General features: G+C 45.4%; 1 protein-coding gene and 1 long non-coding RNA gene across 5 annotated transcripts in view, besides 2 other annotated features; one reads left to right on the top strand and one right to left on the bottom strand.

Annotated features, from left to right (window-relative positions):
• GMDS (GDP-mannose 4,6-dehydratase) overlaps positions 1–17,358 on the top strand; it is a 621,800-nt gene that overhangs the window by 572,409 nt on the left and 32,033 nt on the right. The gene's annotated exons all lie outside the window — the stretch shown is intronic.
• LOC107986514 (uncharacterized) lies at positions 4,875–16,324 on the bottom strand. Its single transcript, XR_001743788.2, has 2 exons — positions 7,293–16,324; positions 4,875–6,349 (listed from the first exon to the last, which is right to left on the bottom strand). It is a non-coding gene; the product is annotated as an uncharacterized LOC107986514 (long non-coding RNA).
• Positions 7,447–7,616: an enhancer, noted in NCBI's record as "active region_23867". NCBI's record gives its function as "activates an Ori minimal core promoter by ATAC-STARR-seq in GM12878 lymphoblastoid cells {active_cell/tissue: GM12878}" and the evidence as "EXISTENCE:reporter gene assay evidence [ECO:0000049][PMID:35858748]".
• Positions 7,627–7,856: an enhancer, noted in NCBI's record as "active region_23866". NCBI's record gives its function as "activates an Ori minimal core promoter by ATAC-STARR-seq in GM12878 lymphoblastoid cells {active_cell/tissue: GM12878}" and the evidence as "EXISTENCE:reporter gene assay evidence [ECO:0000049][PMID:35858748]".

Genomic DNA, 17,358 nt, shown 5'->3' with positions numbered 1-17,358 from the left:
TGAGCAGGCTGGACAGCCTGAGATACTAGAAAACAGAGCTGGCATTGGTGACTGTCTGAAACTGGAGAGACCTCTCTGAGATCTTAAACCTCATCTCTTTTCACTGAAGTTCAAGCCACTGGTGGGCCTGCTGGATCCGCTGCCAGCTGCTGTTGGCTGATCAATGTTTGTTTCATGCTGTTTGAAAATACAGTATAGACTTCGCAATTCCCAATCCTCGCTGAAATGCCCGGCTGGGAGTGGTGGGAGTGCACAGCCAGCAATTAGATGTTTCTTTTGTCACATCCAGAAAGGACACCAGGGAATGCCTTTATTCCAGCCCTGTGACATCTCCAGCATCTGACTAGCATCTCAGGGCAGTTTCCTAAGAAAGGGTCAGAAGAATGCAGCGTCAGACAGAGCACAGTTAACCCCAGAATTTTGCATCACCACTGTTCCATTGCCTGGTGAGGTGCTTAGATTCTCTGGCAAACCTATTTGAACAGGAGGGTTTTCACTTTCTGGAAAGGTACCCAGTCTGGTGGTGATGAAACAGGTTTTCTCTCTGTACTCCCGGGTGAACCCTCTGCAGTCTGCCATTTCTTGGAATCCTCTTAACCAATCTTAGAATTATCTCCCAGCATCAGATTTTGCTTATTAAGGAAACCAGGCATTGTGAAATGCTCCTTTCTACACTAATCTGAAAGACATAAATAGTGGCAGAGAATGTTAGACATAGAGCGGGAAATTTCAGAGACTTTTGTTGGAAGAATCATCACTCTCCTGCAGGAACTGCAAAAAACACTTGATCTCTGTTTACACATGCCTGCAGACACACAGAGAGGCCCTAATCAGCGGCTTGTGGACAGCCTTCTATCATAGCTACCCACTTTTCTCTATGACCTTCCCTGTTCTTCCACTCCATGTCTATCCTGACTCTCATTCACGCATCACGGCTTGGACACTTGTGCTGCCTTTATCATTTGGGAAAACATGGCGCAGCAATGGCCTCAAGTTTGTCAGACGTCTCAAATGCTCCACAGTCGTCGTCTCTGAAGCCAGACCCAAATGTAGTTGTCTTGGTGATTACTGGGCATTGTCTAATCCAGGAAAAAACACTCTTTTGTAGAAATATAATAAGACAGTGTGGGTGGTGCTGGATCTGCAGTTTTGTCATTTTGAAATTTATTGGGTTGATGCAAAAATAATCACAATTTTTGCCACTAAAAGTAATGGCAGAAAGTAATTAAAAATAGGCCAGGCGCGGTGGTTCACGCCTGTAATCCTAGCAATTTGGGAAGCCAAGGTGGGCAGATCATGAGGCTGGGAGATCAAGGCCATCCTGGCCAACATGGTGAAACCCTGTCTCTACTAAAAATACAAAAATTAGCCGGGTGTGGTGGCGCACACCTGTAATCCCAGCTATTCGGGAGGCTGAGGCAGGAGAATCAGTTGAACCCGGGGGGCAGAGGTTGCAGCGAGCCAAGATCACACCACTGCACTCCAGCCTGGCGACACAGTGAGATTCCGTCTCAAAAAAAAAAAAAAAAAGTAATTAAAAGTATGGCAAAAACCAAGATTACTTTTGCACCAACCTTAATATCTTATACATACTTAGGGATGGACAAAATGCTTTCCTCTCAAATTCTCAGAATGATATCGTTGATTCCGTGTTTCTACGTATTTGCTTGGTGGTTTACATTTATATACATTGTGACTGTAAACCCAGAAAATAATAATGCCCTTTAGTAGAGTAGCCTTTTGTGGTGGGGTGCGTGGGGGTGGGTGTTGTTTTTGGCTTGATCCCAAAAGCAAGGCATTCAACCTGCTGAAGATTGTGGGGCTTCCCAGAGAGCACCCCAGCAGGGGAGCAGTCTTCAGTCGCTGCTTCCTCTAAACAGGGCGTCGAGTGAGAAGCAGCCTCCTGAACACATGCACCAACATGAATGTGTCTGTAAACTCCTAATTGAGAGTGATAAGCCGCCACCAGACTCTGAAGGGCAGGCGTCTTTGTAGGTCACAGGTTGCCGAGAAAGCTAAGCTCAGTGCCGCTGATTGACACTTGGAGCAGTTACATTGTTCTGTGGCCTTCGTGGGTTACTGTGGTTTGCAGGGGAGCTGCCATCAGATCTTTGCCTGAGTCTGTAGGCTCAAGCCTTCTGAAGGCCCCCACAGTCGCTGCAAGGGGAGCAACATGGAAATGAGCTTCATTGTCTAGAATTTCAAAAAGCCCTGCAGCCATGAGGTGACAGCAAAACTCTGAGCAAAAGTCCGGGCGAGCAGGGAACTATGAACAACTTGTAAGAGGTGTGGTTCATTGAATCCAGCCTCAGAGCAAGAGTTTTCATGTTTTCAGAATGAAGATGCATTTTTTAAAAACGTACTAGGTACTTACCCGAGGCCATGGTTTGACCTGCAGATGACTTCAACGTTTGGAACTATGGAATGCAGAATGAAAACTAAAAGTATGGCTGAAGACAAAAGGCACGAGGAGATGGTTATCTTTCTCTCTAGCACTACTGAACTATTACCTTAGGAAGAATATATTTAGAGCATGGAAGTCTATTAACTTTTCCTCATTTTAAATGTTCTTTTTAATTACAGAGCCACTTAGAAAATATTCTAGCTTTTCATATCAGTGTTTTCTTCTCTGTCTTATCCCGGTGTAGATAAGCCAATTTCTTTTACATATCTGAGCTGCTCATTAATTAAGAAAAACTCAGCATTAGTTACCGTTCATGAGTCCTCAAAAACACAAAATTCCACATTCCAGCATGTGTTACATTAAGTGGAAAAGATTTGTCTAATGCTGTCCTCATTTTTAGTGCAGGTGAAAAAAAAAAAAAACCAAAAAAAACCCAGAAACACTTGATTTTGAAGTAGCTCTTTCAAATCAGGGCAAGAAAAATATTACTTCTGAAAGTCGTATGCAACACCTGTAACCAGCGCATCCCTTCTTGTCTGTGGTCCTCATTACAGTCATTTCACACCCTCTCACCCCCTTGTCCCGGAAGGCTGCTGGGCAGAAGTCCCCGAGCTGCTGGTGCCACAGGGAGGAGTTGAGGGGGTGGGGCAGTGCGGTGCACGTGCGCAGCGCTCTGACTTGAGGCTTCCAGGAGACGTGATGGGTTTCAAAACAGTGTGCAAGATCTCCCCTCGTTTGTGACACCAAGATGTTCCTATGGAGCCCACCCAGCCCCTCCCGACCACCTGCATTCCCAAGGAAGCCCTGTGACCTCTCCGGTCACCCAGCCATCATGGGACCGGCGGTGACAGCTTTTTTTTTTTTTTTTTTTTTTTGAGATGGAGTCTCGTCTCGCTTTTTCACCCAGGTTGGAGTGCAGTGGCGCGATCTCGGCTCACTCCAACCTCCGCCTCCCAGGTTCAAGTGATTCTCCTGCCTCAGCCTCACTAGTAGCTTTGATTACAGGCGCCTGCCACCACACCTGGCTAATTTTTGTATTTTTAGTAGAGATGGAGTTTCACCATGTTGGCCAGGCTGGTCTTGAACTCCTGACCTCAAGTGATCCGCCTGCCTCAGCCTCCCAAAGTGCTGGGATTACAGGCATGAGCCACTGTACCCAGCTGGTGACAGCTCTTGATGCCAAGCCCCTGTTTGAACACAGAGGTGCCTGAGCTGCGGTGAAGTGCTCAGCACATGACGATCTCATTTTCAGCACCCCCATTTTTATGGCAAAACATGCAATATGTGTTTCTATTTACATGACATAGGAAGGTGTCATCCACAAAGTGCGTTTTTCTCTCTAAACAAACGTTTCATACATTTATTGAATCCTAAAAATGGGAAGAACCTCAGAGATGACTGATTCTGAAGTGTATCCCAGAGAGTATGTGTGCCTCCAGAGTGTAGACTCAGAGTAGTGGAGCCTGAATGAACCCCAGAGGCCATCTCCTCTGAAGTGCATGCTTGGCTGAGGAGGCTAAGCCCCAAAAAGGCTGAAATTCCCAAAAAGCACCCCAGACTATGATAGCCAACCCTTGTCCCAGCCTGCCCAACCCTGCTTTGCGCTTTTTTCCATTATTGTGTGAAATCAATGTCTTCTGTCTCTTCCTTCCAGAGAAAAATTATAATAATTCTTTTAATCAGGGCAGCAAGACATTTGACAAAGTTTCCTTAGACCTTGGTATTAGATTTTAATGTTGCAGAGAGTTCTTCACTAGTGAAAACAGTACTGACATATGTTAGAAATATATTCCATTCAGGTCTGTGAGTCTTCACTAATTCCAGGGTGTGTCAAGTTCAGTGTAAAAGTCTCTTTGGCAACTCACTGGCTCTGTTCTCCTGAGCTGATACCTTGGTACTTCTCTGATTTGGCCAGAATTACCTGATGTGTTGCTTTGTCTAGTTATACATCTTTACACATATTTCAAGAAAGTTTATTTCTAAATTCGTAGCATTGTTTTCTTCCCCTTAATGGAGAGTGTTCTGTTTTAATGTTTTGGCTCCTTTTTATTCCCAGTGGTTTTTTTTGTTTGTTTGTTTGTTTGTTTAGACAGAGTCTTACTCTGTTGCCCAGTCTGGAGTGCAGTAGTGCGGTCTCAGCTTACTGCAAACTCCGACTCCCAGGGTCAAGCAGTTCTGCCTCAGCCTCCCAAGTAGCTGGGATTACAGGCGTGCACCACCACACCCAGCTAATTTTTGTATTTTTAGTAGAAATGGGGTTTCACCATGTTGGCCAAGCTGGTCTCAAACTTCTGACCTCAGGTGATCCGCCTGCCTTGGTCTCCTGAAGTGCTGGGATTACAGGCATGAGCCATTGCGCCTGGCCCCCAGTGTGTCTTAAAATATTACATTTTCTACCTAATTTTTATAATCTACAGTTTATAATTCAAAGGCCTTTTTATCTTATTAAGATATATTACGAAGTCATTTCTAAAAGAGTTTATAAATCTTCAACATTTATTTGTTCTCCAGTATCCTATTTTAGCATTTTAACAGAAAGTAACAGTATCCTACTTATTTGGAAACTCAGCCACAAAGTAACTGAATAAACTTTTTATACAAAGCAAAAAAAGAAAAAAGTAAACACCTCTAAGATCAGCCTTCTCTTTTGAAATACCTTTACACTGAGGTATATTTATTTACAAAGACAAATATATGCTTACATTTTTATAGAACATCTAAGTTTTATTGAAATATTAGCAAATCAATAGCCAGGTACGATCACTCCCTTCATTCACCCTGGGACTTGTGCATAGGCCAGACTCCCGGGATGTCAGCCGCATGTGATGTGGAGATAACTGTGATCTTATTATCTGAAATGTTTGAATACGGAGAGGGTCCCAGTCTTCATTAGAAAGAAACTTAACCAGGACAGTAAATATGTTCAATTCCTCTTAAAATGTCCAATTTACTGATAAGTGGGGCACATTTTTTTTCATTTAAAAAAAATTGGAATGGCCACCTTAAGGCAAACATTTGAGAAGAAGAAAAATAATACAAATATATTACTTACAAAACAATACAAAAGTGTCTCAGACCAAAAAAAAAAGAAAAAAAAATACAAAAGTGCCCATTCCATGTTGCCATTAGACCAGTTAGTCTTCAGACAGGACTGTCACCATCAATTTTTCATTTTTAAAGGATTTTAATTCTTTCAGCATGTTCATATGGTTTTATAAAGCCCCAGATACCCAGCAAATCCCCTTGGTGTTGTAAGACAAGATTGCTGTTAAAAAATGTTTAGGCTTAGTCAGCTTCTTCTCACTGCTGACTTCACGAGGGGCTCTGGGAAATGGTGTTTATACTGAGCTTAAATTGATAGGGCAAGTTTAATGCAATTGGGTCAAAGGTACAACTGCTTAGCTGGTCTCATCAACCACTCAGGTTTCAGCATGGGTTTATAAAGAGCAGTCTGTAATGATAACATCTGGCTGCTTGAGCGTGACTGCATTTTGCCTGCTATGATTGAATGGAATTTAATGGTGGGAGGAGAAAAGCTGGGGCAATTTCATTTTTGAGTTATGGTTCTAGATAGATAAGACAAAATGGTAGACTTTGATTGGTCTGAGGCCGGCCATCTCGCAGATTGCTTAACAGACCTGCTTCTTCTATAGAACCCTACCGTCACCACTCTCAAAGACAGCTGTCCTCATTGAGTCAATGGTAGAGGCATGGGGTGGGCACAGCTGCTCTAGGCTCATGTGTGTCTGCACGCTAGGCCTCCTCTTTGGCATTGCTCTTCTCGCTGAGTTCTGGTTTGTTGCTCTGTGGAGACTGTGAAGGTCCTAGCGCTCAGCAGAAAACACAGTGCCCTTCCCCCAGAGGGTGCTCCATTAATGGGAGAGTTGACTCCATTCACTGCTGGGCAGAAGGTGGATAGAAAGCCAGTGCCAAGCTGAGTTCAGGCTGTCAAAGAGAGGAGATGAAGAAGTTAGTTCCCAGTCTCCACTATCGTTCCGCTTAGAAGGACACTGTGACCTTGAGGACCAAAAATGTAAATGTCATAAGTCAGCCGTAGACGTTACAGGAGAAGCCTACTACGCAACACCTCCAGAGAGGGACCAGCTTAAACTGTAGCTCCGGATCCCAAGGGTCCTTTTCATTCTGTGGAAACTCGGTGATTCCATTAGTGATCACACCACCGTCACGTGAAAAGCTGACTGTATAATTTCATATTGCCTAAGGTCTTTTATAGTCTTCTCAACTTCACCTTTGGATCATTGAGTGTATAACCTTTTAAATTTGCAAGAACTTTTAATATAAACAAGTAGGTAGACAAACAGGTAGGGATTTACCTCCCTGGTGTAACTAGGCTGAGAGGGTAGAGGAAGGGTCAGGGCTGTACACTTAGCACTTAACCATATTTCCTCCATAAATAAGAAATATTCTTGGTCTTGGTGCATCATCAGGACCAACAGGAGAGGAACCCTAGCCCACCAGATCCACACTGTAAAATAAAGACGGCACAGAAAAGGAGGGGATGCAGGTACTGTGGTGCAGGGGAGAGGATGCTGGGCAGAGCAGGACTCCCGTCTCTAGGATCTCAGAGCGACTTGACCCTCAGGGACTCTCACGGCCTTTGCTGCTTCATCCATAACAAGGGGCAAATGCCTAATCAGTTCACTTCCCATACACTCAGCCCACTTATATGAAAGCCCTCCTGTAGACCGGAAGCCCTACATGAATGGAAGTGTCGTTGTCACTCCTCTGCTGATGACCCACTTGGCTGTCAGTGTGCCCAGAGGTCGAGTTTAACTCCTCCAAGTCGCTGAAATTAAAAATACGGTCTCCAGAAGGAAATAGTCTATGTATTATAGGACTCAACTTGACATACCAAATCCAAACCTACCAGATATATTAAGGTGATATTTAGAAAGTAGTTCTTATTTGAGCTCAGGAGAGCTTTTTCACACAGCGGGCTTCCTTGTAGCCTGAAGACATGATGATATGTACACAGACCCTGTTTTTCTAGGGCTGTTTAGCTATTATGTGTAGCAAGGCACACGTGTATCCTCCTTCATCCAGTTGTGGCCCATCGAGGCAGGAGTATGTGGCCCCCAGAGAGCAGAAAGGAGGCCTCCTGCTCTGGTCCTGGTAAAGGAAGGAAACCAAGACATGGAAAACAACAGCAAAGCCTTCTGCCCCGTGCACCTTCCTGGCAGATCTCATTCCTACCCAAATGGGTAGGAAAATGGGGGAAAGTAATGTATAAAGTGAACCCCAAGTAAGTATTCTGTTGTACTAACAAGCCAGAGGTCTGTCTCCCTTCCTCTTTTACATTCATATTTCATTGTCACTTTCGATTCTTAGGCTGGCCCATTACCTCCCTCAAACAAGGAACTGAAACAAATCTCTTTAAAGCAATCATGGTTATACATTTTATATTTCATTGTCACTTTTGATTCTTAGGCTGGCCCATTACCTCCTTCAAACAAGGAATTGAAACAAATCCCTTTCAAGCAATCATGGTTATATATTTTGTGCCCTTAAAAGTATAAGCCAGGAGGGGGGAGAGATAGCATTAGGAGATATACCTAATGTTAAATGACGAGTTAATGGGTGCAGCACACCAACATGGCACATGTATACATATGTAACTAACCTGCACATTGTGCACATGTACCCTAGAACTTAAAGTATAATAATAAAAAAAATTAAAAAGTATAAGCCACCTCTGAATATAGTGATCAAAGATAAACTGCCAACTGCCACTTCCACCAGTCATACTCTGTCCAAGAGATACACGTACTCTGTGGTAGAGATGTGCAAAGCCAGCTGAGTATGCAGAAGTCTATCTGTATTCACATAGCACGTGTGGTGTGTGAGAGCGATCCTGGTGAACAATAGTGACGTGAATATGTTCATTCTACAGTTAGGACGCTTCTAACTTTAGTTTCAAAATGTTTCTACTGCACTATACCTTGGTATCAATGAGATTTTTAAAAAATCTCTACCCACATGTGAAGCCTCTTTACTACTATATAATCACTAGTACTTTCCAAATTAAATATTATGCTTACATTATTAAACATTAGCATTGCCCCCTGTTAGGCCAGAACTGTGGCTGATCAGGGAATAGTTTACATGAGTCTCAAACATGTCAATGTGACAGAGTGACACAGTAAATCACCTCTAACCAGTATGGCTTATACTCAAAAGCACATTGCTTTCAGCTTCGTTATGTGATTGTCCGTGCTGTGCCTGTAGGAGTGGCCAGACACCATGAATCGGGGACTCTAGGGAGAACAGGACACTCATTCATCTCACGCCTCTCTAAGGAGAAACAATTCCTCTCCTCTGAAGAGAATACTCACGGTCTCCCATGTGAGTGAACGATGAAGTTGTAAGAACACTCCCCCACCTCACTGTTGGTGACAGAGGACAGTGTGGTTCCAGGGGGTGGGCAGGTGAGAGGGTCCAGAGAGTGAAGGAGATGCTTGGATGATCCAGAAATCTGGGGCCAGCTCATTGGCCCAGACTTTCATTAGTTTTGACTGAAGGCTGACACAAGATTCAAGTAGCAAAGGGCAGATTCTCGGCCTTACAGAGAAATGATAAAGATTCCAAGAGTTGATTTTTGCAGTAAGAATGGGTAACATTTAAGAAACACCAAAGTAAAATTTGACTAGGTTACTTCTTTTTCTTTTTATAAGCAACTTTTAGCCTAATTATTGTAAAGAACTATAACGGGGCATGCATGTGATTTATTTGTTGAAATAAATGTAAGCACTTATCCAACAAATTCTTACTGGGTGCCTACCGTGTGCCAGGCACTGCTCTGGGTCCTGAGGGTGCTAAGCCAGTAGGTGACTTATTCCAACAAATTACAACAAATAAATTACATGCTCCCATTCATACAGGAGGGCACAGACCACAAACATGTTAATAACATGTCAGGAGGAGATCTGTGCCATGAAGAAAAATAAAGCAGGGTAAAGGTGATCAAGGAAGGCCTCTCTGATGAGACATTTCAGCAGAGCCATGAAGGAAATGAGGGAGCAGGGCACACGGATCTTCACCAGTCACCGGGGGACTCCTGTGCAAAGGCCCTGTGGCAGGTGTATGCTTTGCCAGTTGAAGGAACAGCAGTGGGGCCAGTATTCCTGGCACAGAGAAATGGTGAGGGCAGTAGCCACAAGCAGTCACATAAGGCGGTGCAGGCCAGTGGTAGGGTTTGGGGTTCCAGGCTGTGAGGAGGAGGGCCGCCGTGTACTTGCATTCACAAAAACATCACTGGTACCTTTGGAAAAATTCCGCAGGGGCAAGGATAAAAGCAAGGAAAAGGGAGCTTGGTTTCCTGCTCTTCTAGGAGAGATGATAGCTAAAATCTCTTCTAGGGAACTTTGGGACGTTTCAGTTAAGTAGGTGAGAACAAGAAGCAATATGGGGGTGCTTTGGTGAAGGAGGTCCCACAGTTCAGACTGAGCTGGGCTCCTAAATGAAAACAGTGGCTGCCTTTTCTGAGCCAACGACCTGCACGGTGCTTCTGTGCGTTGCCATCACTTCCCAGCATCCCTAACGAAGGGTGCAGAGACACCCCAAGTTGAATTTCTCTCCCTTTCCTTATCAGTGCATGTTCTAGAAAAGCCATAAGACACTATGAAAAGCTACAGTCTGCTCCTAAGTATCATATTTGAGCAGTAAGTTCTAAGAAATTCTATTTTAGGTTTGACATCTGGCTAAAGGAAATCAGAGAAAGAAATGTCATATTTGAAACAGAAAGGTCAAACCCCTTACGATATCCAGAAAGGAGGGAAGTAGGAAGCTTTTAGTAAAATAAATAAATGCAAACCTATATCCTTATTCTGACAGTCTCGTTGGGAGGATTCATGCACTATGGAAGTTTTGCTTCTGAATCTGTGCTCATTCTTTATTCAACAAACTTTAATTCATCCCCAAAGTAGCATTCCTCCCAGCTGACTGCCCTCAGCATCTTGGCAGGAGAGAACACAAAATGTTATGCAGCAGTAAGCCCTAAATTTGTGTTTCTGTCAAATAATTGGGAAAATGTTGGAATGATTTTTTTCAGCTCATCTTTGTTGAGAATTTAAGGCATTTCCCTTGGCTCTCAGGACAGTTTATATACATCAACATAAAGCAGCTGATGTCATATACAGAGTCCACTTGCCTGCTTCTCCTTGGATGTTCCAGTGGTACAGACAGGCCTGGACCTCCCACTCCCACCTCTGGGCCCTCCCCACCTCTCTGAGACTGTCCTCAGATCAACTGTACTTCTTTGTGTGGGAACTCTAATCCTTGGATTCCAAGGTACTGGTCACCCATGCCACAGGTTCCAGAATTCAAAGTGGAGCCCCCAGCACACACGGTGCTGCTATCATTTCTCCAGCTGTTCCCAAGTCTGCACCTTCTGCAGCTCTTCCCAGAGGCCCTCCTGCCATGTCACTGTTTCCAACGTCCAGAGTCCTTACCTGTCTGTGGTGGTGTGGGATCACTGTCATCATCCACACATGGACTCGATTCTGATCCTGCCTGAAAACTCACCATTGCCACCTCAGTTTCCCAGTGCTAAGATAAGAATAAGATGAAGTAATGTTCACCTGGGGGAGCTGATCTGAGGATTAAATAAGTGAATGCTGTAAAGGTCTGGAACACAGAAGGCACCGAGAAGTGCTGGCTCCCTTCCTTCCTTTCCCAGTCCCGCACAATGCCTTCCAGCCACGCAGTTCCTCTCTCTCCACCAGCAGCTTCGGAGCCAAGGCGAGTCGCCATTTGTGACTCCCGGTGCTCCTGCTGTAGGATTTCATCTAGTTCTCAGGTCCTTCCTCCATCTCCCCAGTGTAGCTGTCTGTCATGGGTTTTTGATGACCCTCAGATGATAGCCTCCTCCATGCTTCCTCCATTTTCTGCCCCCTCAGGCACCCACCCGCCCCTTAACAATGACATCCGACTGTCCACTGCCTAGTCCGCCTCAGCAGCAGGGAATGCTGAAGCAAGGGCTGCACCCCCCATCACTGCAGCTGGACCCAGCAGTGGATTTGCTAGAGCTTGCTCTTGCTCACTCGCTCTCTGTCAGACTCTTACTAACTCTTTTGGGTTGGAACGTGGTTGAGGAAGATCCGGGCAGGGTCCTCGGACAGCCTGTCAGCAGATCTCCTGCAGCCACAGTCCCACTTGCTGGGGATGGCGAGGGCTGGGGAGTGGGTGAGCTTCTTGACCTGCCACTAGCACGCCTCCGTGTGTGCTGGATCAGGTGCTTCCAAACTACATTCCCAGACCCACTCGGGCTTGTGTGGCCTCAAGCAAGCCGCTTAACCTGTTTCCTTATATGTCAAATGGAGGTAATCATACTTAACGACATCACAGGGGTGTCGTCTATATTAATTAATTAATGTTTGTAGTGAGCTTTGAAGATGCAAAGCTGCTTAAATGTTGAGGTATTCTGATGATAGTCCTTGCGTGTTATTAGAACCTTCCCAGGTTCCTGGACCATCACTCACTGATTACAACTAGGATCTAATAGCACCTGCTGTGCAATCCACTCAGGGATCTATGGCACGACCCATGAGGATTTAACCCAAATGGATAATTGAAAAAGGTATCAGTGAGGCCTGTACGCAGACTTCAGGCCAGTTACAGCGCTCCGTAGCAGTTTTCCAGAAGCCGAGAGGACTGCCCCATGGTATTTGCTGCAAATGGTGTTCGTTGTAATCACGTGGGAACTCTGATCCTTAGATGCCAAGGTACCAGTCACCCAAGCCACATCTTTTATGTGGCGCTGCTCAGATATGGATTGAAAACTGCTTGCTGGGACTTGTGATCTGCTTGGGCCATATCTCAAGGTCATGATGGGAGGAAATGGAGGCCATCTGTTGTGATCAGCTGTGATTCATTTACAAACCTGTGGAACTATGCTGGAAAGAAGGAATTACTACCATGGTTGTCTTCTAGGCAGCTCTCAAAGACTCCAGGTCCGCATGAGAATATTCTTTGCCGCCAACATCTCCTGTCATCTCGTATTGCCTGTACTTCACAAACTAAATCAGTAGGTTGAATTCAGATACTAGATACTAATAATCAGAACAGAGAGAATCCACTCCCACATCTTGTTTGAGATATGCCTCTTATTCAGTTGATCTGCATCCCCGCGTCTCGCAGCTTTCATCACACTGCCTGACTACTTGAACCGGAGGTGTGATTCCTGTGCCTTTTCCTCATTGACACATGTTTTCATTTTCTCCTACTGGATGAGCCACATGTGACCCCCTACATCCGTTCTCCTCCCCGGCCTCTCCGCAGAAACTCATCCCGTGTCTGCAGTATTGTCAAAGTTTCAGAAAGCCAAAATGGCGTTCTTAGTTTTCTGGGCACATTGTGTTGTTTTTGTTTCTTTTGGATTTTGGATGCTGTCAACCTAAAGACACTAAAAGCCCCCACTCTTCAAGATTTGTGTGAAAAATTAACTCTGGATGTTTTTAAATTCCTACAGCTGAAATCCTAGACTTTGCCTTAAAAAAATGATGCTGGTGCCAATAGGACCCCTTGCTTGAAATGTAATTGGCACATGGTTTGGTGGCTTTGCCTGGCCCATCCCATGATGATTACCCCCAGATATGGTCAGCAGGGGCTTTCCAGGAATGCTTTAGCAAGGAAGGATGCGGGTGTACATAACACAGCAAGCATATCATCTTCTTCAAGGTGCCACTTAGGCACCTCCTGTAAGAACACAAGCAGGTCCGCGGCTGGGGAGCCACGTGACGCATGCAGGGTGTCTCTCACTGGACGTTGGAGTCTAGGCCACCGAGACTTCCTTTTGGGGTGCACCACAGGGAGCCCAGGTTTAAAAAGGACTTCCTTTTTCTGGTTAACATATATTAACATGTCAGGGAAACTAATTGGGTTTAAAATGGCTGTTACTCTTTCTTTTTTTTTTAATGGATATTATGTAACAATTATGATCATCTTTTTACTAGAAGTTTCTGAGCTTCAGTTACTCAGTTTCCTGAATAACAAAGTCTTTCTCAAGTAATTCAGTGTTGCTGAGAGAACCATTGAAGTTTATTATGATACATGGTCAGGGTGAAAAGTGTCCTCTGCCCGAAACAGATTCACTATATGGGAGTATGGGGCAGGGGGGCAGTGAGAGAAGCAGCTACCCTATCCTGTTGCCCCCTCAGTGGCATCTGCCCTTGGTCCACTGGGTGCTATCACCCAGCTGCCAACCTTTTCCTGTCCACCCAGCCCCTTCCTTGCCTGAACCTATCTGGGTAGACAGTATGGATATTGCTTATTGGTACAACACCCTATCACACCCAAAGCAAGGTACCCAGGCTGTAACTGGGAGGACTGGGATGGAATGCATGTGAGACAGGCCCCTCCCGAGACAGCCATAGTCCCAAGAGACCTGCTTTAGTTGAAACTCTGTCCCCATGGGACCTCATTGGGATGAAAGGTTCTGACACTGATGTATCATGAAGCTTGCACAATGTGGTAAAGTTACTAAAGGCCACTGAATCGTGCAGTTGAAACGAGTGAATTTTATGATATGTAAAACATGCAACAGTGATGTTTAAAAAAAAAAAAAAGGCCCTGCCACCGAAGAGCCCACAGCATCCAGTGTCCCCTGCCCAGCCTCCCTCCACAGAGCAGGAACTGCATACACCCCACAGAGGCCCATGGTTCATGAGGAATAGCAGGAACTGCATACGCCCCACAGAGGCCCATGGTTCATGAGGAGTTTGCCACTGGCCCACAAGGCTGCCTTTTCCACTCTCAGAAGGCCATCAGAAAGTTGTTTTGGGTTTTTTTTCCTATTAAACTCAAACCTGCCTCACGTGACTTCTACATATATCTACCCCAAGTAGTTCCAGCCCCTCACAGCCTTGTGAGAGCCGTTCAGGTATTCCAGGACGTCTCTTTTCTCTAAGCAAACTCTCATTGCTCCCTGGATGTTTGTAACTGCGAGCTTGGCTGGGGCAACAGTGCCATGCCGGCAAGGTGACAATAGTCAGAATGTTGGCCTTCCCAAGCGTGTGCCTCAGTTCCTGTCTGTGAGCAGAAAGCCGAGCTAAATAGTCTCAAGCAACTTAAATATTCTAGAGTCTGTGATTTGAGACAAATAATTCCAAATGTATATGTTGATTTTTTAAATCTTACTCTAGAAGTATTTTTTTATTTTTCTGTGAAAGTATTCTTTAAGAAAACAATATCATTACCCATTCAGAAAGACTGATGTTTCTTTTCATTCAACTGAGTGTGTCATACAGTAGAGGAAGCATTCCATAATGATGGAGAGCTTCCCTCTGCCTGTCCAGGAGGATGCCTGTGATGCACTCTCACCTGGACACAGGTAGGCAGAGCGCTGGGCTGTGTGGGCGCAGGGCCGAATGCCAGCAGTCGGTGGGATGATACTCTTATGTTCCTCAGCAAGGCCCAGGTGGGAAAGCCTTCGGGAAAATGCGACTTCGCAAATTGCAGCTTCAGCTTTGAAACAGTGAACAAGTTGAAGGGTCCTCAGTAGAGAAGCAACATCTGCTGGGTGATGACTGGTGTTTTCATCCCAATCCCGGTGAAGAGATCATGCTGTGGACACCTTCAGTAGGAAGGACAGTGGCATGTATAAAGGCAGCTCACGATGGACCACCCAAATTGAAGGCAAATAACCCTCAAAATTATGTCTTTTCACTTGGAATTCAGAGGCACGTTTTCTAGATAATCATTCAGGTATCTATTTGCAAACACACACCCCCGGCACTCCCTGCCTCTGAGCAGTTCCAAGAGAATGCTCCAGAAACTCCAGACCCCGGCGCTACGCAAGGCAGGCCTGTAGAGGCAGCCAGTTTGCTGCCATGCGCAGAGCTCACTTCACTTTAAAAAGGGGAGGGGGATGGGATGCCACTTAGTCTAATTATGGGATTTTCTTTTTCTTTTTTTTTTTTTTTTGCTTGAGTTCTTTGTTACAAGGATCTTTTAGGAGTAAAGAATAAAAGAAATGACAGAGAATTTTGCCCAACTCTCCAGGGAGAGAGAAAGTAAGTGGGATAGAAATTGGTGAGTGCGGGGCACCTGCCCCCGACTGTCATTTCTGATGGAAACGTTTTGAGGCGCCCACATGGTTGCTGCTCCCACAGGAATACTTAGGACAGGAAATCTGGTCTCGCCTCACAAACTCAGCCAGTGAAAGAGCCGTGTGAACACCAGTTAATAAATGCCTATGTCTGTCTTTAACAATGGAGGGTATCAGTGTCCTGCTTGAAAGCATTCCTAGGCTAGTCAATGCTGTAAAATAATACAGAAAACTGACATTTTTATTGTGGCACGAGTTACCATACAGCGGCTATCTGCTGGCTCATCTGGTTTTTATAATCTGCCATGTTGCTGTCATACTGAGACTTGACCTGCTGTCTTCAGGCACAGCCTCTCTCATTTCAGCACCTGCCTAAGTGCATAAGCACCGCTTCCAGCACAGAGGTCGATGGGTGCTGTCCACCTTGCACCTGCGCTGTCTCTTTCTCCCTTCAGTCCTCACTCTCCACTCTGTCTGGGGAAGAATGTCCTTGAAACAGAGATTCCAGCAGGCCCATGACACATCGTCAGGGACTTCATGCTTGTCAGTAGTCTAGTGGCATCAAAGATCTCTTTAAGAGGATTCGTGGTCAGCCATCCATGAATCAGTCAAGAGGACCAAGGCTCCCAAGGAGCCAATGGTCATCCTGTGGCAAAAGAAACCCTCTTGCTGTCCCCACACCAAGGAGCCCCTCTGCAAGTGGACAGGGCAGAGTGGCCTTGGGTGAGATGTGCCCCCCGCCACTGAGACCTCCAGCATGGTGCTCTTGGCGCCAGACTTCAGTCTTTCCTTGTGGCTAGTGAAGGTAAAGATTGCCTCCTGGGGAAGAGGCTGCTTGAAGGGACACTCAGCACTTCTCCAACAAAGTCCTGTACAGGTAGTATCTCAGTTATACGGTAGAAGGAGGCACCGTGTACAGCCAGGAGCCAAGCCCAGATCCAGAAGATGTAATTTTTTTTTTTTTTTGAGACAGAGTCTCGCTCTGTCGCCCAGGCTGGAGTGCAGTGGCGCGATCTCGGCTCACTGCAACCTTTACCTCCCAGGTTCAAGCGATTCTCCTGCCTCAGCCTCCTGAGCACTTGGGATTACAGGCACACACCACCACACCCAGCTAATTTTTGTATTTTTTTAGTAGAGACGGGGTTTCACCATGTTGGTCAGGCTGGTCTCGAACTCCTGACCTCGTGATCTGCCCACTTCAGCCTCCCAAAGTGCTGGGATTACAGGCATGAGCCACCACTCCCGGCCCCAGAAAATGTGAATTTGTGTTTTTTTGTGTTTTCCAACAATCATATCAATCCTACATGACCATGTATACTGATTCACCATTTATGGAACTCTTCACAGATGTTGTCTCCTTTGAGCCTGAATTTGTGATGGCAAATCTGTCTGGTGAACAGCGTGAAAAAGAAAGAGGGCAAAAACCATTTTTGGAGCTCTTGGAGACAGTAGTGACATTTCAAAGGCTCAAACACCGGGGCCAGGAGACCACTGACTCATAAGGCATTTATTTTCTGTTTTAGAAAGTTCCATTAACCTTATCTGAAAAATGGGCTAAGTTTTGGAAAATTAATCTTATTAGTTAAGATCAACTTGTATAAATAAAATTCAGGCTAATACATTTGGCAGATGTCCTAGAGCCAGGGCCATGGAGACAGGTGTTCTGGGTTCCAGCATCAGCTCCACCACGCACTCTCTGTGTGACCTGGGTCCAGTTGCTCACCTCTATGTGCCTCAGCCTCCACATGTATGACCTGGCTGTGGGGTGTGCGTGACATCACAATGTGATTCTGACTCTGAGGACATTATCATTAACACATATACACTGTGGCCAAATTAGAAATCATGAGTTGTTGAATCTGGGAATGTATCCGCAGGCTCATCATGCTCT

This window comes from Homo sapiens, chromosome 6 (assembly GCF_000001405.40).
Source record: "Homo sapiens chromosome 6, GRCh38.p14 Primary Assembly".
NCBI classification, from domain to species: domain Eukaryota; kingdom Metazoa; phylum Chordata; class Mammalia; order Primates; family Hominidae; genus Homo; species Homo sapiens.
Note: the sequence above shows the minus strand (reverse complement) of the source record. Positions and strands in the feature narration are given on the sequence as shown.